Source organism: Homo sapiens, chromosome 2 (assembly GCF_000001405.40).
Source record: "Homo sapiens chromosome 2, GRCh38.p14 Primary Assembly".
Classification (NCBI taxonomy): Eukaryota; Metazoa; Chordata; class Mammalia; order Primates; family Hominidae; genus Homo; species Homo sapiens.
The window spans coordinates 360,807-387,962 of NC_000002.12; the positions used below are offsets into that span (position 1 = coordinate 360,807).

The window sequence follows — 27,156 nt, forward strand, 5'->3', positions numbered from 1 at the left end:
GTGGGGAGGAGTGTGATGGTTTAACAGATACAGAGTTGTACTTCGGGAAGATGAAAACGCCCTGGGGGTGGATAGTGGGGCTGATTGCACAGCAATGTGAATGAACTTAATGCTGCTGAACTGCACACCTAAAAATGGTTACAATGATAAATATTATGTAATATCTATTTATACAGTAAAAATGAGGGCTTTCTCACAAATACTATCAATACTTCTGAAGGTATTTTCCACATTGCACTACACATAAAGTGTGTGTTTTAAACGTTACAATATTATGTGACAGACATTTTGGCAATTCTTTCCTGTATTCCTCTTCTGTATTTTATCTTAATGTACATATAGGAAAAATCCAAAGCTTTAGAAAATTTGCCACTTGGCATCAACTTTGGACTGTCCTAACACAAACTGTTCAATATATTAAAGAGAAAATTGAGTACAGTTAATGAGAGTGGGGGAGAACCAGAGGCCAAGAGAGAGGCAGGTGCCTGCCAAGGTAGAGACAAAGGTTCACGCAGAAGATAAAGGTTCACACAGAAGATAAAGGTTCACACAGAAGATAAAGGGACACACAGAAGATAAAGGGACATGCAGAAGATAAAGGTTCATGCAGAAGATAAAGGTTCACACAGAAGATAAAGGTTCATGCAGAAGATAAAGGGACACGTGAAAGATAAATGTTCATGCAGAAGATAAAGGTTCATGCAGAAAATAAAGGGTCATGAAGAAAATAAAGTTTCATGCAGAAGATAAAGGTTCACGCAGAAGATAAATGTTCACACAGAAGATAAAGGTTCATGCAGAAGATAAAGGGACACGCAGAAGATAAAGGGACATGCAGTAGATAAAGGTTTATGCAGAAGATAAAGGTTCACGCAGAAGATAAAGGTTCATGCAGAAGAAAAAGGGACTTGCAAAAGATAAAGGTTCACGCAGAAGAAAAAGGTTCATGCAGAAGATAAAAGGACATGCAGAAGATAAAGGTTCATGCAGAAGATAAAGGTTCACACAGAAGATAAAAGATTTATGCAGAAGATAAGGGACACGTGAAAGATAAAGGTTCATGCAGAAGATAAAGATTCACACAGAAGATAAAGGGACATGCAGAAGATAAAGTTTCACGCAGAAGATAAAGGGACACGCAGACGATAAAGGTTCACGCAGAAGATAAAGGTTCATGCAGAAGATAAAGGTTCACGGGGAAGATAAAGGTTCACGCAAAAGACAAAAGTTCACGTGGAAGATAAAGGGACATGCAGAAGATAAAGGTTCATGCGGAAGATAAAGGTTCATGCAGAAGATAAAGGGACACGCAGAAGATAAAGGGACATGCAGAAGATAAAGGTTCATGCAGAAGATAAAGGTTCACGCAGAAGATAAAGGTTCATGCAGAAGATAAAGGGACATGCGAAAGAAAGGTTCACGCAGAAGATAAAGGTTCATGCAGAAGATAAAGGGACATGCTAAAGATAAAGGTTCACACAGAAGATAAAGGTTCATACAGAAGATAAAGGGACATGCAGAAGATAAAGGTTCACGCAGAAGATAAAGGTTCACGCAGAAGGTAAAGGTTCACACAGAAGATAAAGGTTCATGCAGAAGATAAGGGACATGCGAAAGATAAAGCTTCATGCAGAAGATAAAGGTTCACGCAGAAGATAAAGGGACACGCAGAAGATAAAGTTTCATGCAGAAGATAAAGGGACACGCAGAAGATAAAGGTTCACGCAGAAGATAAACGTTCACGCAGAAGATAAAGGTTCACGTGGAAGACAAAGGTTCACGCAAAAGATAAAGGTTCACATGGAAGATAAAGGGACATGCAGAAGATAAAGGGACATGCAGAAGGTAAAGGTTTATGCAGAAGATAAAAGTTCACGCAAAAGGTAAAAGTTCACGCAGAAGATAAAGAGACACGTGGAAGATAAAGGTTCACGCAGAAGATAAAGGTTCATGCAGAAGATAAAGGGACATGCGGAAGATAAAGGTTCATGCAGAAGATAAAGGTTCACACAGAAGATAAAGGTTCATGCAGAAGATAAAGGGACACGTGGAAGATAAAGTTCACGCAGAAGATACAGGTTCACGCCGAAGATAAAGGTTCATGCGGAAGATAAAGGGACACGCGGAAGATAAAGGGACATGCGGAAGATAAAGGTTCACACAGAAGATAAAGTTTCACACAGAAGATAAAGGTTCATGCAGAAGGTTTCCTTTTACACTTTCCATCTCCATGTTCAGACATCACAGCCTGTTCATTCATAACCTGTTCTATTTTACTGAGTTGGCTATTTTAATAGGTTACTGAGCTCTACTCGGCACAGTGCCAGGCCCTGGGGGATTTGGTACCAACCACTCGGACCTTATGTTGTGAGGAACTGAGGACAAGGGCTTGTGAAGTCAAGACCTGAGACACATGATTCCTTCTCTGCAAAGCAATTTTAGTATCTACTGAGAAAGACTATTTCAGCCTTCTAAAATCATGACTTCTGTTGGACTAAAGCCAGAAAACAATGCCTTTTAATGTGAGTGAAAGCGACAAAAGATGTATTTTAAAGGTACAAGGTATTGATCTGAGAGTCCAACATCCTAGAAACTTGAAGTTTATTATTAATCTAGAGAGTGGTTTGGCAAATCAATGCCTAACTTGCCTAAGCTGGTAATTCTATTTAGTGATTCCACTTTTTTCCTTTAAGGAAATGAAGAGATCAATGTCTGTAATGATTGTGTAGTAGAGATAAGTGTGCATAACGATTGAATTGTTAACCGTTTTCTATCTTTATATCATGCTGCCTGTCTGCTACCCATATTTTGAAAACTGGCCACCTAATTTTCAAGCATGGAATGCTCAGAGCATTTAGGATTAGACAGGGAGGCTGATGTGCTTTTTACTCAAATTTAGAAACTAAGTTATCGGTGCAGAGTTTTAACCTCAACAACAAGATTAAGACCAAGAAAATGTCAGAACCTTAAGTCAGCAACTTACTTGCCTCCAAACTGATGTGGAAATACATCAAGAAGACATCATGAGGCTGCAGAAAGTGAATGGGTTTCAACGGCTGGTCTCCCTGCTGCTGATGGAACCCGACTTACAGTGTTAGAGATGAAAGTGAATGGGTTTGAACGGCTGGTCTCCCAGCTGATGATGGAACCCGACTTACCATGTTAGAGATGAAAGTGAACGGGTTTGAAAGGCTGGTCTCCCTGTTGATGATTGAACCTGACTTAAAGTGTTAGAGATGAAAGTGAACGGGTTTGAAAGGCTGGTCTCCGGGCTGATGATGGAACCCGACTTACAGTGTTAGAGATGAAAGTGAACGGGTTTGAACGGCTGGTCTCCCAGCTGATGATGGAACCCGACTTACAGTGTTAGAGATAAAAGTGAACGGGTTTGAACGGCTGGTCTCCTGGCTGATGATTGAACCCGACTTAGAGTGTTAGAGATGAAAGTGAACGGGTTTGAACGGCTGGTCTCCTGGCTGATGATGGAACCCGACTTAGAGTGTTATAGATGAAAGTGAACGGGTTTGAACGGCTGGTCTCCCGGTTGATGATGGAACCCGACTTACAGTGTTAGAGATGAAAGTGAACGGGTTTGAACGGCTGGTCTCCCGGTTGATGATTGAACCTGACTTAGAGTGTAGAGATGGGTAGGGAGATGGCTGGAGGAGGACCTCTGTGAGGCTTTCCCAGGCCTTGAGCACCAAACCTCACAGCAGATCGCACGTCAAATGCAGTGGCATCACACGATAAATACAACTGATGAAGAAATATGTTAGTTGAGTTGCAATCACGTGGCTAAGATGAAAAAGGTAACTTTTTTGACTAATAATTAAGGTGCTAATTTTAAGTTTGTAGCTTATTTTTCCGGTTTTGAAGCCATTTTTTAACTTTGAAGTGCTCATGGTTCTGGGGGTGACTATGCCCATGTTGCCTCCTGGATAAGGCGACCCTGAGGTGAGAGGCCAAATGTTTCCATCGGGTCACACCCTTATCTAGAGGCACAGTGCCCAGACACTGCCTATCAGTGGATGAATACAAGCCCTGAGAACGGGGCTGTGAAATCAATGCTAAGTGACATTGATTAGCTCCATCAATACATTATACTTTGTTGCAAACATCATTTGAGCCCTGAGCAATACGGTGCAATCTTAATTAATTACAGAGACAAGCCACAAACAGAAACTGAGAGTCCACAGTTTACAGAGAGAGGGAGACGCAGGTAACTTCACCACCAGAAGGGTCTCCAGCGTCGCCTTATTCTCTGCCTGGCATCTGAGAAACCTCGATGAGCATAGAGCAGATTTAGAAGCCTCATCAGTCCCATACGGCTGGCCTAGAACAGAGACCGGCGATGACCTAATCCCGGCCAGAGCCGCTCATGTTGCCGATGAGAAAGCTCAGGCCAGGGAGGGAGGGGACGGGGCTCGCCTGGGCTGATGCCCCATGGCTCTCATCTCCAGGCCTTGGTGGCTCTCTCTGCATCTTTTTGTTTTCTTGCACATTTATTTCCATGTGTCAAGAAAGAAGGCATGTTCAATACCCTGTCGCATCTCCTCTAGGGAAGTGTCAGTACATCAGTCTCCAGCACTGGTGCTCCAGGCACACTCGTGTTCGAGGAATTGAGAGTTATAAGAATCACCAGATCAGGGAAGTTAGGAAAAGGATGTAATTGGTATTTTGAGTAAGATCAGAAGCGCCGTCCCTACCCCAGCAAGACCTGAGGACGTTGCGCAAGTGACTGGCTGTGCCTCACGGTGGGTTTGCGCTGTTGTGCTCAGCCTGAAAGGGCAGAAGAGGAACAGCCTTTGGGTGCTGTGCCATGAACCAGGTGGGCAGTGTCCCGGCTCCCAGAAATGTTTTAAAAGCAGATAAGACAGCATTTCCGGTCAGATTGGATTTGGGGGGCAGAGAGACAGGAATGAAGGATGCTCCAGTGCTTGGCCAGAGCACCTGCAAGACGGAGCTGCCATGAGCTGGATAAGAGGGGCTGCAGGCTGGGGCGAGGCCGCGGCCAGGACTCCGTCTGGGATGCTGAGTTTTAGGTGACTGGATATTCAAGAGGAGAGGCGAGGTAGACGACTGTGTGCTGAGGTCAAGAGTTCAGGGCAGAAGCTGAGGCTGGAGGACCTTGGCCGTCATCACAAGTGGGGGGTCCCAGGGGCACCCACTGTGTGCGTCCCAATAACAGCAGAGACTGAGCCAGGGCGGCCGATGTGAGGGGTGGAGTCAGAGGTCAGGTGTGAGGAAGAGCCAGTGGGCAGGAGAGAGACAGAGAGCCAGAGGCAGCGTCCTCGCCAGGACTCAGGCGGGGCCACATTATCATGGGGGTCCGGCCTGCACGGACAAAACCAAAACCCGATCCTCAGTGCAGCCTGGCAGATTTCATGAGCACCTTCCTATGACTGAAAGCCACCCCTGAAGTGAATCCTGATGGGCTGTTGCGAACAAACTCTCAGAAGGGCTCCTCCAGATTTCTCTGAGACACGGATTCTAGAAAACATATTTTCTCTTTGTTGACAGCAAACAAGAAACTTGCGGTTGTGGGGAAGGTGCTGTCTGGCATCAATTTACTGATGCGCTTGAAGGCAAGGAGTGACCTGTGACCCACAGAGCCTGAGGCCAGAGAACATTTGGGTGCCATTAGGATGATTATTTGAACACTGATATGTTATATTAAAATGTATATGAATTTTGTCCCTTGTTTCACAGTATTTTAATTTTTAATAAATAAAAAACAATAGTTTTACCCCCTACTATCTTTGACTAAAAGTGAGATTCGAGGAAGACACGATCAACAATCTCACAGTGGACGTATCCTCAGCCGTGCTCTCGTACCGCATGCTGGAGATGACCCGTGCGGGAAGGGGAGGATGAGCAGGCAGCTCTGAAGAGAACAGCACCTGCACCCTTGTCTGCGCTGCTTTTCCTTTCAAACCCTACTTGCACTTGGAGCTCCTCCTTCTACCATCTCCATGGGTCTAATTTGGTCAGACTTCTTCCCACACAGTGATTGATCCAAGGAAAGATTGGAGCGGTGCACGCCAGCCTCTGTCTAGATTTAAACTAAAAGAGCAAAGGGCGTTTCAAGGCTTCCAAACAGGCTGGCCCAGCTCACGAGAGGATGGCCCCGTTCCCAGCAGCTCAGAGCGTGCGTTTGCCGGCTGCCACCTCTGTGCACTTCGCTTGAAGAAACCTGCAAAGATTGATTCTACTTGTTTTACCTTTTCCCTCCCCACCCATTTCTCCCTGCTTAGTAAGTGCGGGTTTGTGCATTTTGCTATGAAATAGGAGGAATAACCTCCTCAATCCTGACCAGGAGAAAGCATCTGTGACCTTATTATCAGGGGTTTTGGTAGCTCTCTCCTTGGCTAAGCCAATGTCTAAGAAATCTGCATGGCAGAAGGCCACCAAGGCCCTCAGAGTCTCAGAGTTTCTCATCAGGGGCCTCCTGGAGGCCTTGGGGGCAAATATGGCTTACACACATATTTTGTTTGGCCCTCACAGCATTAAAAAGTAGGCTAACATTTTTCAGAAATCAGGAGTTTATGTAAAAAACTCTATTGCCAGTTTTCCTTGAAACAGGATGATTCTGACTCCAGAATATCCAAACCGCCCCAGCGTTGACTCAGCTGACCAGAGCCACAGACCAGCGGCCACAGGCACGTCATTCCTTGCCTGTGTCTGCAGGGGTCTGAGTTTGCAAATCCAAGTCCAGGTGATGCGTGTGATGTAACAGGAGCTCAGGGGCACTTTTGTCATGGAGAGAATATATGCAGGTAGGGGTTATGATTCTCCATGTTAAGATTTTATTTTATTTTTAAAATTTATCATCGATCATTGGTGGAGACAGAAGGGTGGGGGTGAGCAGTGCAGAGGCTTCGGGCAGCCCCGTCGATGGCCTGAAGCCTCTGCAATCTTCACCCTTCGGTGTCGCTTCAGAGCTCTCGGGAACACAACAACCAGAATGAAATCACAATAAAAGGAGAGTTGAAACTAGGGAATAAAGAGCTATAAAACTATAATGTGGCCAGCCATGGCGGCTCACACCTGTAATCCCAGCACTTTGAGAGGCCCAGGCAGGAGGATTGCTTGAGTTCAGGAGTTTGAAAGCAGCCTGGGTGACATGGTGAGACCTTGTCTCTACCAAAAATACAAAAATTAGCAGGACATGGTGGCACATGCCTGTAGTCCCAGCTTCTCAGGAGGCTGAGGTGGGAGGATCCCTTGAGCCCGAGAGGTCGGGGCTGCAGTGAGCTGTGATCATGCCACTGCACTCCAGCCTGGTTGAAGAAGTAAGGGAGTGAGACTCTGTCTCAAAGTATAACATTTACAAAACTACTATATATACAAGGAAGTAAGTTATTTTTAAAATAAAAATAACAAATTTCAAAAATAAAAAAGAAATGATTATGATTTGAAAAATAAATATTTAGTTATCAATATAAACAATATGAAGTATGAAAAAATATAATAATAACAATTTTATTTAACAACAAAAATACTGAAATGTCAAGAAGACACACAAAGTTGAATATTATCAAATCCATATTTTTGGCATCAAAAATGGTCAAATAGCAATTTCATATGGTTCAGACTAATACATGTTCATATAACTCTTATAATGCTTCCTGAGAGCTGGAGAAACACCCGTGCTTGGCCTCTTGCCAGCGAGAGCCCCTCATTATCAGTGGCTGGTGAGGAATATTCTCAGCTGACCTGAGATGCCCTCCTTAGCTCTTCCCACCGAGCCTGTGTGCCCTCACATAGAGGGTGTTGCGTGAGCACCTCCTCCTGTGGTCTCGCTCATTTCCTTTCTAGCTGCCCTGGCTTCTTTGTGTTGCTATAATAAAATACCTCAGATGGGGTAATTTATAAAGAACAGCAATTTAACTCTCTGCTCTGGAGGCTGGAGGTGCAAAATCAAGGCACCAGTAGGACTGGGGTCTGGTGAGGCCCTAGGGGTTCCATCCAAGGTGGTTCCTTACTGCTGCTGCTTTTCGGGGGAACGGAGGCTGTGTCCTCACATGGAGGGAGGGACAGAGGGCCAGAGGGTAGGAAGAGTATGAACTCTCTCTGAAGCCTCTTTTATGAGGGCATTAATCACTTTCCCAAAGGCCCCACTTCCCAGTACCACCACACTAAGGGTCAAGTTGGATCATGGGTTTTTGTTGTTGCTGTTGTTGTTTAGTTGTGTAAGTTTCTTATATTTTTTGGATATTAAACCTTTATCAGCTATATGCTTTACAGATATTTTTTCCTAAACTGTAGGCTGCCTTTTTTTTTATTATTTTCTTTGTTGTGTGGAACTTTTTAGTTTGATGTAATCCCACTTGTTTATTTTTGCTTTTGTTGCCTGTGCTGTTACTGTCCTGTTCAAAAAATCATTGCCAAGTCCAATGTCAAGGAGCAAAACCAATTGTTTTTCTAGAGTCTTTCAGTTTCAGGTCTTTAATCCATTCTGAGTGTGTTTTCATGTATGTGCAAGATAAAGATCTAATTTCATTATTCTGCATGTGGATATTCAGTTTTCCCAGCACAATTTATTGACAAGACTATCCTTTCCCTATTGGGTCTTCTTGGTGCCCTTGTTGAAAATTAGTTGGCCACGGTTTATTTCTGGGCTCTCTTTTCTGTTCCACTGGCATATGTGTCTGTTTTTATACCAGTGCCATGCTATTTACATTACTTTAGCTTTCTAATATAATTTGTAATCAGGAAGTGTGATGCTTCCAACTTTATTTTTCTTTCTTAGGCTTAGTTTGGTTATTTGTGGTCTTTTACGATTCCATATGAATTTTAGGACTTTTTTATATCTGTGGAAAATACCATTGAAATTTTGATAGGCATTGCATTGAATCTCTTTATCACTTTGGGTATTATGACTTTTTTTTTTTAGATGGAGACTCACTGTCACCCAGGCTGGAGTGCAGTGGCGCAATCTGCAAGCTCTGCCTCCCAGGTTTTTGCCATTCTTCTGCCTCAGCCTCCTGAGTAGCTGGGACTACAGGCATCCGCCACCACGCCTGGCTAATTTTTTGTATTTTTAGTAGAGACGGGGTTTCACCATGTTAGCCAGGATGGTCTGGATCTCCTGACCTCATGATCTGCCTGCCTTGGCCTCTCGAGCATTTTAACAATGTCAATTCTTTTGATCTATGAACATAAAATACCTTCCCATTTATTTGTGTCTTCTTCTATGTCTTTCTATTTCACTAATGTTTTATAGTTTTTAGGGTACATATCTTTCTTTTGTAAATTTTATTTTACTTTAAGGTCTGGGATACATGTGCAGAACATGCAGGTTTATTACATAGGCATACATGTGCCATGGTGGTTTGCTGCACCTATGAACCCGTCATCTAGGTTTTAAGCCCCCATGCATTAGATATTTGTCCTAATGCTCTTCTTCCCCTTGACCCCCACCCCCCAACAGGCCCAGTATGTGATGTTCCACTCCCTGTGTCCATGTGTTCTCATTGTTCAACTGCCACTTATGAGTGAGAACATGCAGTGTTTGGCTTTCTGTTCTTGTGATAGTTTGCTGAGAATGATGCTTTCCAGCTTCATCTGTGTCCCTGCAAAGGACATGAACTCATCCTTTCTTATGGCTGCCTAGTATTCCATGATGTATATGTGCCACATTTTCTTTATCCAGTATGTCACTGATGGACATTTGGGTTGGTTCCAAGTCTTTACTATTGTGAACAGTGCTGCAATAAACATACGTGTGCATGTGTCTTTATAGTAGAATGATTTATAATCCTTTGGGCATATACCCAATAATGGGATGGCTGGGTCAAATGGTATTTCTGGTTCTAGATCTTTGAGGAATCGCCACACTGTCTTCCACAATGGTTGAACTAATTTACATTTAGGGTACGTATCTTTCAACTCCTTGTTTAATTTATTCATAAGTATTTCATTCTTTTTGAGGCTATCATAAATGGAATTATTTCCTTGATTTCTTTTTCGGATAGGTCAATATTCATGTAAAAAAATGAGACTGATTTTTGGATGTTGATTTTGTATTCAGCAACTTCTCTGAATTCATTTATTACTTCTAACAGTGTGTGTGTGTGTGTGTGTGTGTGTGTGTGTGTGTAATCTTTAGGGTTTTCTACATACCAGATCATGTCATCCACAGTAGGGATGTTTTTATTTCCACCTTTCTGATTTGGATGCCTTTTATTCCTTTTTCTTGTCTGATTGCTCATGCTAGTACTTCCAGGACTATGTTGAAAATAAGTGGTAAGAGTGGGCATCCTTACCTTCTTTTGGATTTTAGAGAGAAATCTTTCCATTTTCACCCATTGACTATGCTGTTAGCTACAGTTTTCATAAGTGGAATTGATTACGTTGAGGAAATTTCCTTCTAAACTTGCTTTGCTGAGTTTTCATCATGAAAGGGAACTGAACTTCGTCAAATGTTTTTTCTGTATTTATTGAGACGAGAGGGAGTTTTTTATTTTTCATTCTATTAAAGGAGGGCATCACATTGATTTTTGTGTATTAAACCACCCTGCATCTGCTGGATAATCCCACAAGGTCATGATGTGTAATCTTTCTAATTTGTTGTTGAATTTCTTTGCCTAGTATTTTATAGTGAATTTTATATCTATGTTCCTTGGAGATATTGGACTATCATTTTCTTGTGGTCTTGGAGATATTGGACTATCATTTTCTTGTGGTCTTGGAGATATTGGACTATCATTTTTTTGTGGTGTCTTTGTCTGGCTTTGGTATCAGGGTGATGCTGGGATCATAAAATGAATTTGGAAGTATTTTCTCTAGCTTCAGGTTTTGGAATAATTTAAATGTTAGCACTAATTTTTCTTTGAATGTTTGTTAGAGTTCAATCCTGAAGCCATCTGATCATGGGCTTTTCTTTGATGAGATTTTTGATTATTGATTCTCTCATTTGTTATTGGTCTGTTCAGATTTCTTTCTTCATGATTTGGTTTTGGTAGGTTGTATGTTGCTAGAAACTTATCCATTTCTTCTAGGTTATCCAATTTGTTTTATCCAATTTGTTTGTTTGAGATCTTTTTTTTTAATGTAGGCATTCATCACTAAAAACCTCCTTCTCAGAACTACTTGTGCTGCATAAAAGTTTTGGGGAGGATGAAAACACTTTTGTTTGTTTCATGATATTTAATTTTTAAAAAAAGTTTCTTTGGCCCTTTGGTTGTTCAAGAATGCATTGTTTAATTTCCACATATTTTTTAATTTTCCAGCTTTCCTCCTGTTATTGATTTCTAATTTAATATCATTGTGTTTGTAAAAGGTGATTGTTATGATTTCAGTCTTGTTAAGTTTGTTAGAACTTTATCCGTGGCTGAACATGTGCTCTGTCCTGAAGAGTGTTCTGCGTGTGCTTGAGGAGAAGCTGTGTTCAGCTGTGGGGGGACTGCTCTGTACCAGCACAGGTGGAGTGTGGCTCCTAAGGAAGTTTTACTGATGCATCCTCATCCTGGGGCCCTGAGATGTTGTATTCCTTGTGATTTCCTACGCATGCTACAGTTTATGCGGCAAGTATTACCTCTGAAAAATGCCACCAGCTGTGATGACTACCTGGGTTCAGGTTAGACTCTTCTTCTTAATGATTAATACAGGTTATTTTCAGACTAATTCAAAGGTATGACACAGGGCATGGAGCATGACTTTGGCATTGTGTGGACTTGGACTGGAACCCTGGCTTTGCCACCTCCTAGGTTTGTGACTGGGAAGTCTCACCTTCTTCACACGGATTCTTTTCTCTGAACGATTTGGATAACTAAGGAGGAGAAAGAAGGTTGAATGGAGTCTGAGGGGATTCTGAGAGTGGAGGGCTGGGGCTCCCCAGGTGTTTACCGTGGAATAATATTTGGTCACATTGTTGATTTCCTTGAACTTTCTTAAGAAGTAGTGTGCTGGGATGCTATTTTGTAACAAAGCTTCTCCCTACAGGAGAGATCTTACCTAACTTTTAAAAAGTAAGGGGTAAATTTACTGCTCAGGGAAGTTGTTTATGCATTGGAAGAATGAATTACCAGATGCCAGGACACAGACAGTGTTTAGATTGAGCTATTGGATGGTATTCACTTGTGCACATGCATCATGAAGTTGAGTGATTTCTGACAAATGGCTCATGTGCTTTGTCAGCAGGTCCCTGTAGTGACTAGAGGAGCATTGTACAAATGTCTGGCAAAGCCATCAGGACCTTTGACAAACCCAGTCTTCCTGACATGCCCCCTCCTGCCGTATTAACTTTGTTCATCATTCTAATTTTCCTGAGGCACTAGAAAGACTATTGACTGAATCAAAGAGCTGTACTGAGAATTCACCCCAAGGCCCACACTAGCAACTCTAGCAGAACCGTCTTTATTTCAGAGGAATGTTGAGAGTTAAATCTGGGCCAATACAAACATAAGATGATGGCTGGGATGAGCAGGTGTGCAGAAAGGAGTGGTATTAAGAGATATTTAGGTGGAAAATGGACCATGAGGACGAAGGCAGAGGACACGGTCTGTGTAACTGGATGGGGGTTGGTGATACCGCAGAAGCAGGGAGTTCACAGAAGGTCAGGGGTCATCAGGAGCCAGGAGAAGCTGCTGCACTTGATCAGAGATTGCTGAGTTTGAGGTGGATTTGGGATGTAAAAGTGGGTGACTCCTGTGCAAGCAGGCAACACTGTCTGCAAAGGTAGCTGATATCTTCTAAGGTCCTTGGCCAACCTGGACTCAGGTAGGTGTCCTGTTAACATCTTTTTAGTACTTTTAAATTTCTGTATCAAATAACAACGAGTAAGTCTACTTTTTTTTTTTTTAGCTTAGAAATCAGTATTTGGCTCAACTGATATTCATGGTTTGCATTTTTGACAAACAAGTGGCAAACAGTCTTGTTTTTGGACACAGGATCTTACTCTGTTGCCCAGGCTAGAGTGCAGTGGTGCAATCATGGCTCATTGCAGCCTCAACCTCTTAATCCCAGGTTTAAGCAATTCTCCCACCTCAGCCTCATGAGCAGCTGAGACTATAGGCATGCACCAACATGCCTGGCTAAGTTTTAATTTTTTATAGAGACGGTTCTTCCTGTGTTACCTAGGTTGGTCTTAAACTCCTGGGCGTAAGCAATTCTCCTACCTCAGCCTCTCAAACAAAGTGCCAAGATCACAGGCATGAGCCACTGCGCCCAGCCAGACCAGTAATATAAACGACTGCTCCAAAATCACAAATTAACTTGATGGCAGTATTAGGATTGAAATTATGGTTATCCAAAGCCACTCTGACCCACGAGATGACAGCATTCCTGTTTACCATATTCCTACAGGTTCTGCGGGGTGGAGTGGATGGCCATTGTGTGCTATGTGCTCTGAGGAAGCTTCTTCAACTGCTCTGCGAACCGCAGCAGTTAAGTGTAGTATACAAGGCAGCTACGTGAATAGTGACCCAGATACAGACCAGTCTCAAGATAAACAAAAGGAAGATACCTCATCTGCAACCCATGGCCTGAGTTTTTCATAATACCCAGAATGGCAGTGCAAGGTTAACACTATGTTAGAAAGCTACCACTGGCTGGAGGATATGCCACGGGGACAAAACCAATAAAAAGCAGGACAGAGAAACCACCTTGCAGGAGCAAAAGAAATCAGCAAATTGAGATTTTTTGTTGTGACGTTTAGTGAGGTGGAATACTGAACGTATTGCATCCTAATGGCGTCTTTGTCTCATACGGCTCACGTGTTGTACAGTGAGGTGGAATACTGACCGTATTGCATCCTAATGGCGTCTTTGTGTCACACGTTGTGCAAGCACATTTCTATGAACACACACCCCAAGCGGGTTCTGCACTTACACTGCATCCTTAACTCACCTACATTTCTAAGGGTGTCTGCCTTCTTCAGCAGCCCTCCATGGCTGTCCACACCCTCCCACACCAGCCAACCTGAAACAAGGTTTCCTCTTCCTCTAGGAAATACTCAGGGTCTCGCTTCCTCCTTCAACATCCATCCGTGTCTTCCACACCCCATCCTGAACCAGGCGCCCGAATTCCGAGTTCCGTGTTCCTTCTGTCACACGTGGCTAAAGACCGGCTGCTCCCTAGAAAATCACTGCTTTCCAAAGCGCACTGCCGAGTCTTACATGAAGTATTTTCTCTTTAGAGACATGAATTCTGATTCAGATATTTGCTTTCATTATAAGCCTTGGAGCAAAGAGTATAAAGGTGTTTTCTTCTAAAAGTTCCTTTGGTTGACCACGAATCCCCAGCCTCAGCTGTCTCCCTTAGTGCTGTTTGCTCCATGGATCTCTTACAGATGTGTGTCAAAGGCAGTTCATAAGCACAAAGACATCTGGAATACAAAGAGTCGCTATATAAAGACTAAAGACACCATGTTTATATTGAATTAATGAGCTGATTCTGAGATTTTTTTAGAATAACAGCCTACCTGGCATTTATTCTCTCTGAGCATTAATTAATATTTTTCACACCAGTGTCTATCTTAGTCAACATATTTTGAGCTTTGATTCAATTACAAAACCCTAACACCCCAAACTGTGTGTTTTTCACATGGTAAAGGACCACAGATTCACTAACGCCTTCAGAAGAATCAGTTTACTGTGGATTCTATCCAGTATTATGAAGTTCTCCTGTCCAAAAACACAGTTTTGAAAGATGAGGTTAGATTTATTAGTGCTGTGTTGGCTGGGATTTCATTAAGTGAGAGGGCTTTTGTAGTTTTCTCAGACCAAGCAAATTTTATTGGGCCAAATTATTTTTAGGTAAATCTGTGGGAATCTGTCCAATTTGTTACATGCCCTAAAGTCTTGGCACACTGAGATTTTGTTTTGTTTTTCTTTAGAAAATTCCCTCCCTGTTTCTCCCTCTTTGATATTATTCCCAGTAACAATGCATTATTGTTTCCTATGGGTCTGAGGACAGTGGCAATTCAGGGCATGTTTGGTGTTGTTGGCACGTCACGGAGGAGACATTCCCCACATGGCCTCCCCTTTCCTGTGATGCTGTTACTTCGGGCCCTGGAAGTTGAAACCGGGCAGCCAGGCCAAGGACCCTCTGTGCTGAAGGCTCCGGTGCCCTCAGTCATCAGTCTCTGTCATGCTAACTCGTTACCTGTGCATGGAGCAGCCGCTAGACAGTTTCTCAGAGGACGAACGGCATTAAGTAGTTCCTTCATTCCTCCATTTGACAAACCTTGACTTAGTGCTGACTACCTGATCGTGACAGAGCTGAGCATCACAGATCAAACCACACACAACTTGTGTCCAGCACTCAATTTATGGTACATTTCTCTAGAGCTTCAAACTAGGGTATGCTCAGGGCTTACGTGTAATACACAAAAAAGTCTGCATATCATGTTACTGATCTCCTGAGCCATAAAATCCCTAAGGAAAAAAAAATTCTTTTTCTAAAGAGACTGGCTTGTTTTCAAGCTTACAAAAACCAGCCAGAGGGTTCAGGCTAAGTTTAGACAACTAAAAATAAAGTGAAAGCTTGGGTTTTTAATTTATGATGATGATTATTATTTTAAAATTCATTTTTGAAATGCACTTATATAGTGGAACAACATCAGATTAATGAAATTTAATCGTTATTGTGAAGATAAGTCTGTTTTTGGCTCAGATAAAATGAAGAGCTTCTGTAATACTTCCTTTTTTTCTCTTAAAAACCAAATGTGCATAATTCTGTTGGAAGAATAAAGATTGTAATTGTGAACTTTACCCATCATCTTCAATCTGCTTGTCTCTTGTTTCTTAAAAATCATTTTTAGCTCAAAATGTTTGATGTTTTTGTTTGGCCTGTTATTGACTTTTAAAATGTATTTTCAGACATATATACTTTTACAAAATGGATATTTCTGATGTAGATATAAATTTACCAATTGTTATTTTATTTTCTTTTAAATATTATACTCAACACATACAGTAAAATTATAAAGAATTAGAAAAGATTCTGAAAAATAACAACTCTGGTCCCACTCTTCTACTACTACGGAGGAAATATCAGATTTTTATGGCAGGTGGATATAACTGGGAGGTAGGTATTCCCTGTCATTGTTGAAGACACAAATGTACATTTTCTGAATCTCTCTAAACAGGAAGATTCTTGTCAGAACAATGTAGTAATTTTATGAAGTAGATTTTGTAAATGTAGGTTATATAATAAATTTCAGTGAATTATAAAAATGCAGGGTTTAAAAACAGCTGTATAGAAAAAGTGATGTTAGCAATATGGTGGAATGGGAGTTCCTGGTGCTCTTCCCCTCACAGAAACATCAGTTTGGACAATTATCCACACATGAAAATACCTTCATAAGGGCTAACGTTAGGCACTAAAGTACCTAGTGGAATAAAGAAACAAAAATGTATTTAAGAGGGTAGGAAAGACAGCTTCATGTTACCCGTCACTCTTCCACCAAACCTGCACAGCACAGCACAGAGACTTATACCCTCTGTTGCCAGAGGGTGGGGGATGCAGCAGGCATCTGACTTTGCCATGGGCCCCAGGACCAGGCCCACCTCCAAAAATTTCAGGGCCAGACTAGCCCCTGAAGCCCCAAGCTCTAGGCCCAACAACTCTAAAGAAATGGCGATATATGAACTGCCTGGCAAATAATTCAAAACAATCATCTTAAAGAACCTCAATGAGTGACAAGGGGACACAGATAGACAACTGAATGAAATCAGGAAATACATAAGCAACATGAGAAGTTAAGAAATAGATTGAAATCGTTATAAATAAGCAAACAGAAATTCTGGAGCTGAAGAACAAAATGACTGAGCTGGAAAATTCCATGGAGAGCTTCAACAGGAGACTCGAACAAGCAGAAGGAAGAATCAGTGACATCAAAGACAGGTCAAATGAAATTACTCAGTGGAACAACAACAACAAAAGATTGAAAAAAGTCTATAGGGCTAAGAGACACCATCAAACAAGTCAATATATGCATGATGGTAATTCCAGAAGAAGCAGAAAAATAGAAAGGGGACAGAAAGCTAATTTAAAGAAATAATGATGGAAAACTTTCCAAATCTAGAGACAGAAATGAGCATCCAGACGCATGAAGCCCAAAGAAGCCCCAAAGAGGTTAAACACAAAGAGATCTTCATAGACACATATTACAATCAAATTCTTAAAAGTGAAAGACAAATAGAGAATATTGAAAGCAGCAAGAGAAAAAAGTCTCCTCACATACATAAGTCTCCTAAAGGACAGTGATGTTTATAGTAGGAACAAAAGTGATAAAGAGAAAAGAATCAAGCATACCACTGAAAAATGATCAAATCACAAAGAAAGACAGCAAGTGAGGAAGAAAGGAGATACAGAATAGCCAAAACAAAATGGCGATAGTGCTCCTTACCTATCAATAACTACTTTAAATGCAAATGGTTAACTTCTCTTGGCAAAAAGACATAGAGTGGCTGAAGGGATATTAAAAGAAGATACAACTCTATGCTGCTTGCAGGCTGAAAGTGAAGGAAAGGAAAAAGATATTCCATGCAAATGGTAACCAAAAGAGATAAGGAGGGTATACTTACAGACTTTAAGGAATAAACTATAACAAGAGACAAAGAAGGGCATTGTATAATGACAATGGGGTCATTTCATTGAAAGGCTATAACAGTTACAAATATATATGCACTCAACATCAGAGCACTTTAAATGTATAAAGTCAATGTTAACAGAACTAAAGGGAGAAATTGCAATGTGGTAATAGTAGGGAACTTTAGTACCCCACTTTCAACAATGAATAAATCATCCAGACAGAAAATCAATAAGCAAACAGAGATCCTGAATAACATTACAGACTAAATGGACCTGACAGATATGTACTGGACATTCCATCCAACAGCAATGGAATACACACTCTTCTCAAGCATATAAGAAAAATGTTCCAGGATAGATCCTGTATTAGGTCACAAACAAGTCTTAACAAATTTAAGAAGGTGAGGTCATATGAAGTATCTTTTCTGATTACAATGGTATGAAACTAGAAATAGATAATGGGGGGAAAGAAATCAACAAAACAGAATCCTATTTATAACAGAGATGAAGAATTAAGACTCATAGAAACAAATTTAACTAAGGAGGTGAAAAATATCTACACCGAAAACTATAAAACACTGATTAAAGAAATTAAAAAGGATACAAATAAATGGAATGATATCCATTGTTAATGAACTGGAAGAATTAATATTGTTAAAATGTCCATACTACCCAAAGCAATCTACAGATTCAATGTAATTCCTTTCAAACTACCAACGGTGTTCTTCACAGAAATAAAAAAAAAGTAATTTTAAAATTCATATGAAATCATGAAAGATACTGAAGAGCCCAAGGCATCTTGAGCAAGAATAAAACAACAAACAACAATAAAAACAGCCACAGAAAGCTGGGTGCGTCACACTACCTGACTTCAAAGTATACCACAAAGCTGTAGTAACCAAAATAGCATGGTATTGGCGTAAAAACAGACTCACAGACCAACAGGACAGAATAGAGAGCCTCGAAAAAAACACGTGCGTCTGCAGCCAACTGATTTTTCACAAAGGCATCAAGAACACACAGTGGGGAAAGAATAATCTCTTCAATAAATGGTGTTGGGAAAGGCAAATATCCACATGAAAAAGAACAAAATTGGACCTCTTCTTACATCATACACAAAATCAGCTCAAAATGGATTAACAACATAAACATAGGACCTTAAATGGCAACACTACTTGAAGAAAACAGAGAGAAAAAACTTCTTGACGTTGGTGTGGGTAATGATATGATACTAAAAGCACAAGGCAACAAAAGCGAACATGGACAAATGGGATTGCACCAAACCAAAACACTTCTGCCCACACAAAGGAAATGACCAACAGAGTGGGATTGCACCAAACCAAAACACTTCGGCCCACACAAAGGAAATGATCAACAGAGTGAAGAGACGATCTACAGAATGGGAGAAAATAATTGCAAACCATACATCTTATATGCAGTTAATATCCAAACTATGTAAAGAACTCAAGTCAATCACAAGAAAACAAAGGGCTAGGCTGGCGCCGTGGCTCATGCTTGTAATCCCAGTGCTTTGGGAGGCTGAGGTGGTCAGATGGCTTGAGTTCAGGAGTTCAAGAGCAGCCTGGGTAACATGGCAAAACCCCGTCTCTCCAAAAATTACAAAAATTAGCCTGGTGTGATGGTATGCGCCTGTGGTCCCAACTACTTGGGAGGCTGGGGTGGGAGAATCACTTGAGCCTGGGAGGCGGAGGTTGCAGGGAGCTGAGATTGTGCCACTGCACTCCAGCCTGGGCAACAGAGCCAGACGCTGTCTCAAAATAACAGGAAGAAAAAGACCCAAGGAGACCCAATTTAAAAATGAGCGAAGAACCTGAAAGATATTTCTCAAGAGAGGCATACAAATGGCCAATACATATATGAAAAAATGTTCAATATCATGATCATCAGGAAGATGCAAATGAAAAGCACAATGAGCTATGACATCACACTTGTTAGAACTACTATCAAAAAGACAAAAAGTAACAACTTTAGGGGAGGCAGTGATAGAAAGGGAACCCTTGCATGCTGTTGGTGTGAATGTAAATTGGTGCAGCCATATGGAAAACAGTATGGAGTTCCCTCAAAACATTAAAAATAGACCTGCCATATGATCCAACAGTCTCTCTTTTGTGTGTCTATCCAGAGGAAAGAAAATCACATTTGGAAGAGATGTCTGCACTCCATGTTACCGTAGCCAAGACATGTAATCAACCTATGTCCATCAAAGGAAGACTGGATAAAGAAATGTGATACGTACATATAAGGAAATATTATTTAGCCTTTAAAAAGAAGGAAATACTGCTGTTTGTAACAACATGGATGAACCTGGACGTTATGTTAAGTGAAGTAAGCCAGACACACAAAGACAGACACCACATGATCTCATTTGTATGTAGAATCTAATAAATTCAAACTCATAAAAATAGAGAGTAGACGGCGGTTCCCAGGGGCTGGGCTGGGGTGGGGAAATGAGGTGACATTGGTCAAAGGTACAAAGATTCAGTTATGCAGGTGACTAAGTCCTGGGGTTCCTAGGCACAGTGGGTGACTATGATTAGTGACGTTGTATTGCATACTTGAAATTCACTAAGAGGGTAGAAATTCAGTGCTCTCATCACACGTGCGCGCACACACACACACACCCTCCAAGGTCACTATGTGAGGCAATGGATGTCTTAATTAACTTGATTGTCATCACCATTTCACAATGTACACATATATCAAATCATCACGTTGTCAATTTTATGCCATAAAGCTGGAAAAAATGACATGATTTTTTAAAAATAGTGTTTTTATTAAAAAATAGCAACAACTCCATGGAAATAAATGTGAATACATCTTAGAGCATGAAACAGAGGCAACCCAATAGCTCCATTATGTGAACGGCCTGCCAGGATGGATGACTCACTCTTAGGATGGTGGAATTTTAAAAGTAAAGTAGATCTTTGGGTCTGTCATTTCCAGGTGGTGCTCTGAGTGCTGGGATGTTCGGACCCTGGCTGGGTCACGTGCTGCAGCCGGCGGAGCTGGAGAAGTCACGAGACTTCCCACCGCATGAGGCTGCCCTGCTGCTGCCTGGGTTGGCCAGGGGAGCCGTTGCCATCGGAAGTCAGTCTGTTTGAAATTTCTGTCAGTTCCATCTACCAGTTGGTTGTCATCCCCAAGGGTTCTATGATTTTCCGTGCTGCCAAGGAGGATGATAAAAGATTTACTGACCTCAATATACAGACACTCAACTTACAACGGGGTTATGTCTCCATGTCTCCGTAAACCCAGCGTATTCCTTGGAAATACTGTCAGTAGAAAATGCATTTAGTACCCCCTACCTAGGGAGCATCACAGCCTGGCCTGGCCCACCTTAAACACGCTCAAAACACACATCAGCCCACAGTTGGGCAGACTCATCTCCCACAAAGCCCACTTGATATTAAAGTGTTGAGTTCTCATGTGATTTGTGGAATATTTTACTGAAAGTGAAAAACAGAACAGTTTCTACTGAATGCCTGTCACTTTCACGTGATCGTAAAGTCAAAAAATCTAAGTGAAACCATTTTACGTTGGGGATAGTCTATACCCTGTTAATGTGCCTTATTCTGGAAACCATTCTATGTGAGCTGAGGAAATAGTCCACACAGAACATGGAGAAAAGCAGGTATTTTCCTATTTCTTATTAAATAAAAATGGGCAGCAAAGTGTGGAGAATTAGCCCGGAGGAATGGCCTGGGCTGTGTGCGCTCTCCGCCGGCCCTCACAGCTGCAGCCCTGCTCATGCGATCTTGCTGTGCAGTCCTCCCCCTCTACCGTGAATGCAAAATCCTACAGAGATCAAAATACACACATTCAATAAAACCGACAATAACAACCTCTGACTGGGTGGGCCGAGAAGCTCCGGGAAAACATCCTTTTAAAACTGCTATTACCTGGAAGTCAGCAAAGTGGAAAAACCGGCAGTAGAGAGGATTTTGTGAATGGCTCCCCAGGAGCGCTGCTTACATGCGGCTTCCTAAACGGGGAGGCCTGGGGGTTGTAGCCGGGGTGAAAATGTTGGGCGTTTGAGATGCAGCACTTCTCAGGCTCTGAGGGACTGCAGAGTAGCACCCGAACCACCAGACAAGCCCCAGCGGAAGTGTGGAGCTGACGTGCAGTTATCCACATGTGTGTTCCAGCCAGAAACCTTTCGGATATACATTGTGAACAGTTTTCTACAAATGATGACATGTAAACACATAGTTTGAGATATAATAACCCATGACTGTCCATGGAGCTTGGCGTTTCTGTGTCCCTGTGGCCTTCAGCTGGCCACATTCATGGGAGGCAGTGATTCTCAGTGCCATCCCAGAAGCAGAAGCTTCTCAAAGCACCTGCACCCTGGCATAGGCCACAGACTGCCCATCTCACCCAGCCTGAGCCCCAGGCACTGAAACGCAGGAGAGTTGTTCAATGTGTTTATTCAAACTGAACATAAATGTGCAGGAGATGAGATATTTCATCCTGTGATGTAGGTATTACTACACTCCCCTTTTGCAGATAAGGAAACCAAGCCTGAGACATACTGAACAAATCGACTGTGGCCACACGATTGGGGAGTGCCGGTGGATTTACATCGAATGTCCCAGACGGAAGCTCACACACTTCCCAGCTCCCCACATCACTTTTCCGAGATGCATGTTGATGAAAACACAGAATCATACCTTTTAAAGGCACCGATGAATAACCCTGGAAACTAGATATGGCACATAGATATATATGGGAAATACCCATTCATAGAAATGTGGCTGAGAGATTCCAAACCTGACTTTGTAAGAGAAAAAAAATATGAAAAAGTAGTTATAAAAATAATTAAGAGTTATAAGAAAATAGTTATAAGAACATAGTTAATAAGAAAAACCCAGAGTCAAATATGCAGTAAAGCAAAAGAGAAAAGATCCATTATTGCAGCAAGCATCGCCAGAGATGGGACTGAATTACTGGTATTTTACCCGGGAAGCCTGCAGGGGCGAGCTGAGCTCGGGCAGAGCCTGCGCGGCTCAGGGACGGTCACTGTGTCCTCACACGGGCAGAACGGGCTCTGAAAACAGCCATTACCAGCCATTGGCTCCATTTTCCCTGGCGCTGTTTTCTCTGAGAAAAATGAGGGCAGCGTTTATCTTGGCTTTGCTTTGTGTCTTTCTCCTAGTTTTCTCCTCCCTGACGCTGTCTTGCAGTGTAAGCCAACGTGGCTTAAGACAGTTCGGCATTCATCAACTATTGATTGCAAGTCTAATCAATAGCGTGACTGTGTGAGTGTAATCAAAATACTTGAATTATTTTAAACAATTATTTTAAATATTTTTTCTGACACACACATACGCACACACTTAGACAATTTAACTGCACTTTTTTTGCTAATAAAATTTACATTATTTGTGCCAGTTAAAACTACCTTCCGACAGCCTGAACTGAAGATGAAAGTCAAGGAATTTATTTTTCACATAATGCCTAGTAAGAAGCTGCCATGAAAATTTCTACTTGGGCACAGAGTGTTTCTGTCCTTTTAAAAAGGGAGTAGAAAGTTGTATAATTTGATATGGAAAATTATTACCATCCAGGTTTTCCTACTTTCTGGGTAAAGGTCCTGAGTGCTGGGCTTTTTCCAGATGCCGGCCAACAGATCCTTGGGGTGTGGCTCCGTGATGAAGCCAGCCCCACCCTGCAGGGCTGGCAGCCGCCTGTGACCCTGTGACTCAGCGGCCACGGCGTGTCTACAAGGAGCCCAGTTGCAGGTGCAGGTGGGAGGGCCCAGGATGGAGGCTCTGATGCAGCAGGAGCCGGGTGGGCAGTGATGCTTGCATCCCTGATGGGGAGGTCCCGCCAGGCCTCATGTGCTGGGTGCTGTGCCCTCTTCCTATGCAGGGAAACGGACAACATTTCTGGAACTCAGTGACGCTAAAGTTCTGTATCTTTTTATCCTTTCTTTCATGCAAGGAATAGTAGGATTTGAGGGTGCAGAATTTGGATAGAATTGTTCTTATAGCAGATTATAACAAAGGGGAATGTTTGGACTTACCAGTTAAGTGGAAATGCATATAGATAGTCAATAACTGTATATGTACTTTGATTCCAAGTGGTTTTGAAGTTGTGGAGCTGGGGGCCAATGAAGAAGGATCTAGCTCTGAAACCAGGACTCAGAATGTGATAGAAAAGATCAGGCTGCGGGCGGGGCTCACACCTGTAATGAGACAGAGGCGGGAGGATCACTTGAGCCCAGGAGTTCCAGACCAGCCTGGGCAACATAGTAAGGCCTCATCTCTACTAATAAACATTAGCTGGGGATGGTGACGCATGCCTGTGGTCCCAGCTACACAGGAGGCTGAGGCAGGAGGATGGCTGGAGCCCAGGAGGTTGAACCTGAGGTGGGCAGTGGTGGTGCCATTGCCCTCCAGCCTGGGCAAGACAGCAGACCCTGTCTTAAAAAAAAAAAGATCATGGTAGTCAAATGTTAGGATAAATTAATCTTATTAATCAAGTTATGTTGTTTAAATATCAGCTAAGGCCAGAGAGGGAGCCATCTTTTGCTTTGTTTTTCTTTAAATGATGTATAGGTATTATTTCTAACATAAGGCTTGAAAAACTAATGAAGTGTAATAATTTTAATGAATAGGTGGTTTATGAAAAGAGAGGTTTGGGAATTCCACGTTTCTAATCTTCATCTCAGAAAGCGCAACCGCAGGCCCACCTAGAGACTCACGCCCCACTCAGGCTCTCCTGCTCAGGGCTGTAGCAGGGCGGGAACACTCTTCACCTTCAAACCTGAACCCCCAAATGTCAACCTGCACCGAGGCACCTATGAGCATGGCAACTCTTGTCTCTATTCGGCAAGACCCCTCTAAAACCATAACCCCCTCCAGCCCAGCCAGCCACCCTGAGGCAGCCCTCTCACCCTGGCATTCAGCATTTGTCACATAAAGAAAGCTTTGCAGAGTTCCACACACCCAGTAGCTGACTGTGAACCTCCCTCAAGGTCCTTGGCCTTTCGCCTGCTGTCACCTGATGTTACTACTGGGTGCACGTGGGGCCTGCACGGGTTCCTGGTGGCTCCTGCGGTCTGGAGCCTGGGACCTACCACCCTCCGTCCCCCCTGTCCCTCCTGAGAGTCAGAGCTGGCTGAGGACACTCTTACAGAGGAGAGGACATTTTCTTAGTCAAGGGTCTGTGAGTGGCTGGACTTTATTCTTGGAACCCCCTTTGAGAAATCATTTGGAAAGTGAGTGGTTCACTATTGTAATTGCGAACAGTTTTTAAAAATACGATTTCCTTCTTTATAAAGTGCTCAAAGTGCTGGACTTGGTGCATTTTATAAAGAAGGAAATCGTATTTTTAAATAGCACTTTTATATTGTGTTGTCCTCTTATGTTCTGAAATAAAATATGGAATAAGAATTGAGTGCAAAACTGAAATCCGAATTTATACTTTGAGATAATGTGGCCAAATACGTTTAGAAAGTCCTGCAACAATTCACAAGCCATGTGGACATGGTGTGGGGCTCGGCTGGGTGAGGGTTTTCTCCTCCCTCTCTGGAGGGAAGGTGGAACAGGGTGAATTAAAATCCTGCTCCCCTTTCCTCCCACAGGGAGATGGCTAATGACCCACAGCTGGGATCATTGCTGCCTGCTCAGGACTTGAGTTACTGGATGTCGGAGGCTTACAAAGTGCTCTTTCTGAACGAAAAGGTAATTACAGTGTTTAAGAGCAGCTCCAGGAAGTGTGTATGGATTCTACAACTTTGTTTTCTTCTCTCTGGCTAATAGAAATCATCCAGCCCTCCCAATGAGGCCGCCTTGGGGCCAAATCCCCAAAGTGGCAGGCAGTCCCCGGAGAAAGCAATTCTTTGATGAAAAAAACGCCAAACATAAAACCATTTATCCATTCCTGGTCCAAAGAGCCAGTTTCCCTGAGAGGAGGTGGGACCACAGGGCTGGGCAGAGAGGGATATATTTGCTCCGTGCAGTCGTCATAGGAAAAAGAAGCAATGTCTCCTAATTTTGACAGACACAAGGCTCACTGGATTCAGAACAGCAGCTCTCAGAGCTGGACCTGTTCCCTTTTCTGAACTTCAGTTTTATTCTTATATTAAATTCTTCAGCAATACCTTTACCTTGACAAGAACGAATCATTAGAACATGTCTCCTCATGGCTGACCTCATGAGAGGAGATTTGAGGGCTTTGTGCTTGAGGCCCCAGGTCCCCCATGCTGTGCCCAACTCCTCCCCATTCCCTGGCTCCCCTTCCATGGGGGGCGGTTCAGACTCCTGTCCTCTGTCCTGGGGTGGCTCTGAGTGGCCTTCACTCCATCCTGCAAATCAGCAAGAGGGGTCTCCCTGCAGGCGCCCCACTGCTCACCACTTACCTGAGAGCAGGAGCCAGGTTCTGCCCTCTGCCCGCTCCCGTCTGCCCGCTCCCCTCTCCCCTCTCCCCTCTGCCCGCTCCCCTCTCCCCTCTCCCCTCTGCCCTCTGCCCTCTCCCCTCTGCCCTCTGCCCTCTGCCCTCTCCCCTCTGCCCTCTCCCCTCTGCCCTCTGCCCTCTGCTCTCTGCCCTCTCCCCTCTGCCCTCTGCGCTCTCCCTTCTGTCCTCTCCCCTCTGCCTTCTCCCTCTCCCCTCTCCCCTGTCGCCTCTGCCCTGCTCCCTTCTCTGTCCTGGGCTTCTGCCCCCCTCACCGCTCTCTGCATCCACTCCAGCTTTTCCCCCCTTCACTTTCTCCAAACAGTGATTTTTTGAAACTAATATCAACAAGATCAGGACAACTGCAATCACTTTACCCGACTTGTCAGTTTCCTATTTAGAAAATTCAGACTATGGAGTGGAATTGGCTCCTCATGGGACCCATGGTAAGTTTTTAATTTTTGAATTCACAATCAGATGATTTGGTTAAATTTTACATCCTTGTGTAGCTCCCCTACTCAACATTAACTGTGTATTCCTAGGAGTTTTCAGTAAAATTCAAAATATGTTTAAAAAGAAAAAATTCTAGACCAACTATCACCTACAACTGAATAAAACAAAGTATTTTATTATAGCCAAAGGGTTTTTCTGACTTGTCCAGCACACCAAGGTAATCAGTCAAATTTCTTAATATTTTTCTGTGAATGTCCCTGTCTGAGATGGAGGAAATAGCTGATCATAAGTCTAAATAGCAAGACAACTTCTGGGAGGAAAGCAAAATTAACTTTATGTATATGAAACTGATTTTCAGGAGAAAATGCAGACTCAAAGAAATGTTATTTTCATATTATAAAAACTATACAAAATAGAAAAAAAGATGAAATCACCTTGAACAATACAAACATCATAATTCAACCGTCGCGAATATTTCAGTGTAATTTTTAAATTTCTTCTCTACACTTACATATCTGTATAGTCATCTCTATAACATACAGGCGACTACCTATCTGCTTTTCATGTTTATAACTCGATTATAAGCATAACTCCCTATTGTCACATAGGTGTTAAGCCTTCATTGAGAGGAAGAAGAATCCAAGTTTTTATAATTTTATGGTCGGCTTCCTCATGTATTCTTTGCTTTTCTGTGCTTGACTCCTCCTCACACACTGGCTGCAGCTGGAGGAGACAGAAGCTACT

The 27,156-nt window shown here is 42.6% G+C and overlaps 1 long non-coding RNA gene across 1 annotated transcript, besides 1 other annotated feature; it reads left to right on the plus strand.

Annotated features, from left to right (window-relative positions):
• The first annotated feature begins 6,728 nt into the window (after positions 1–6,728).
• Positions 6,729–26,471, plus strand: LOC105373351 (uncharacterized). Its single transcript, XR_922703.3, has 3 exons — positions 6,729–6,776; positions 25,151–25,250; positions 26,285–26,471. It is a non-coding gene; the product is annotated as an uncharacterized LOC105373351 (long non-coding RNA).
• Positions 12,766–13,965: an enhancer, noted in NCBI's record as "MED14-independent group 3 enhancer chr2:373572-374771 (GRCh37/hg19 assembly coordinates)". NCBI's record gives its function as "activates an origin of replication core promoter dependent on BRD2, BRD4, P300/CBP and CDK7 cofactors, and independent of MED14, by STARR-seq in HCT116 cells {active_cell/tissue: HCT116}" and the evidence as "EXISTENCE:reporter gene assay evidence [ECO:0000049][PMID:35650434]".
• Positions 26,472–27,156: the final 685 nt, after the last annotated feature.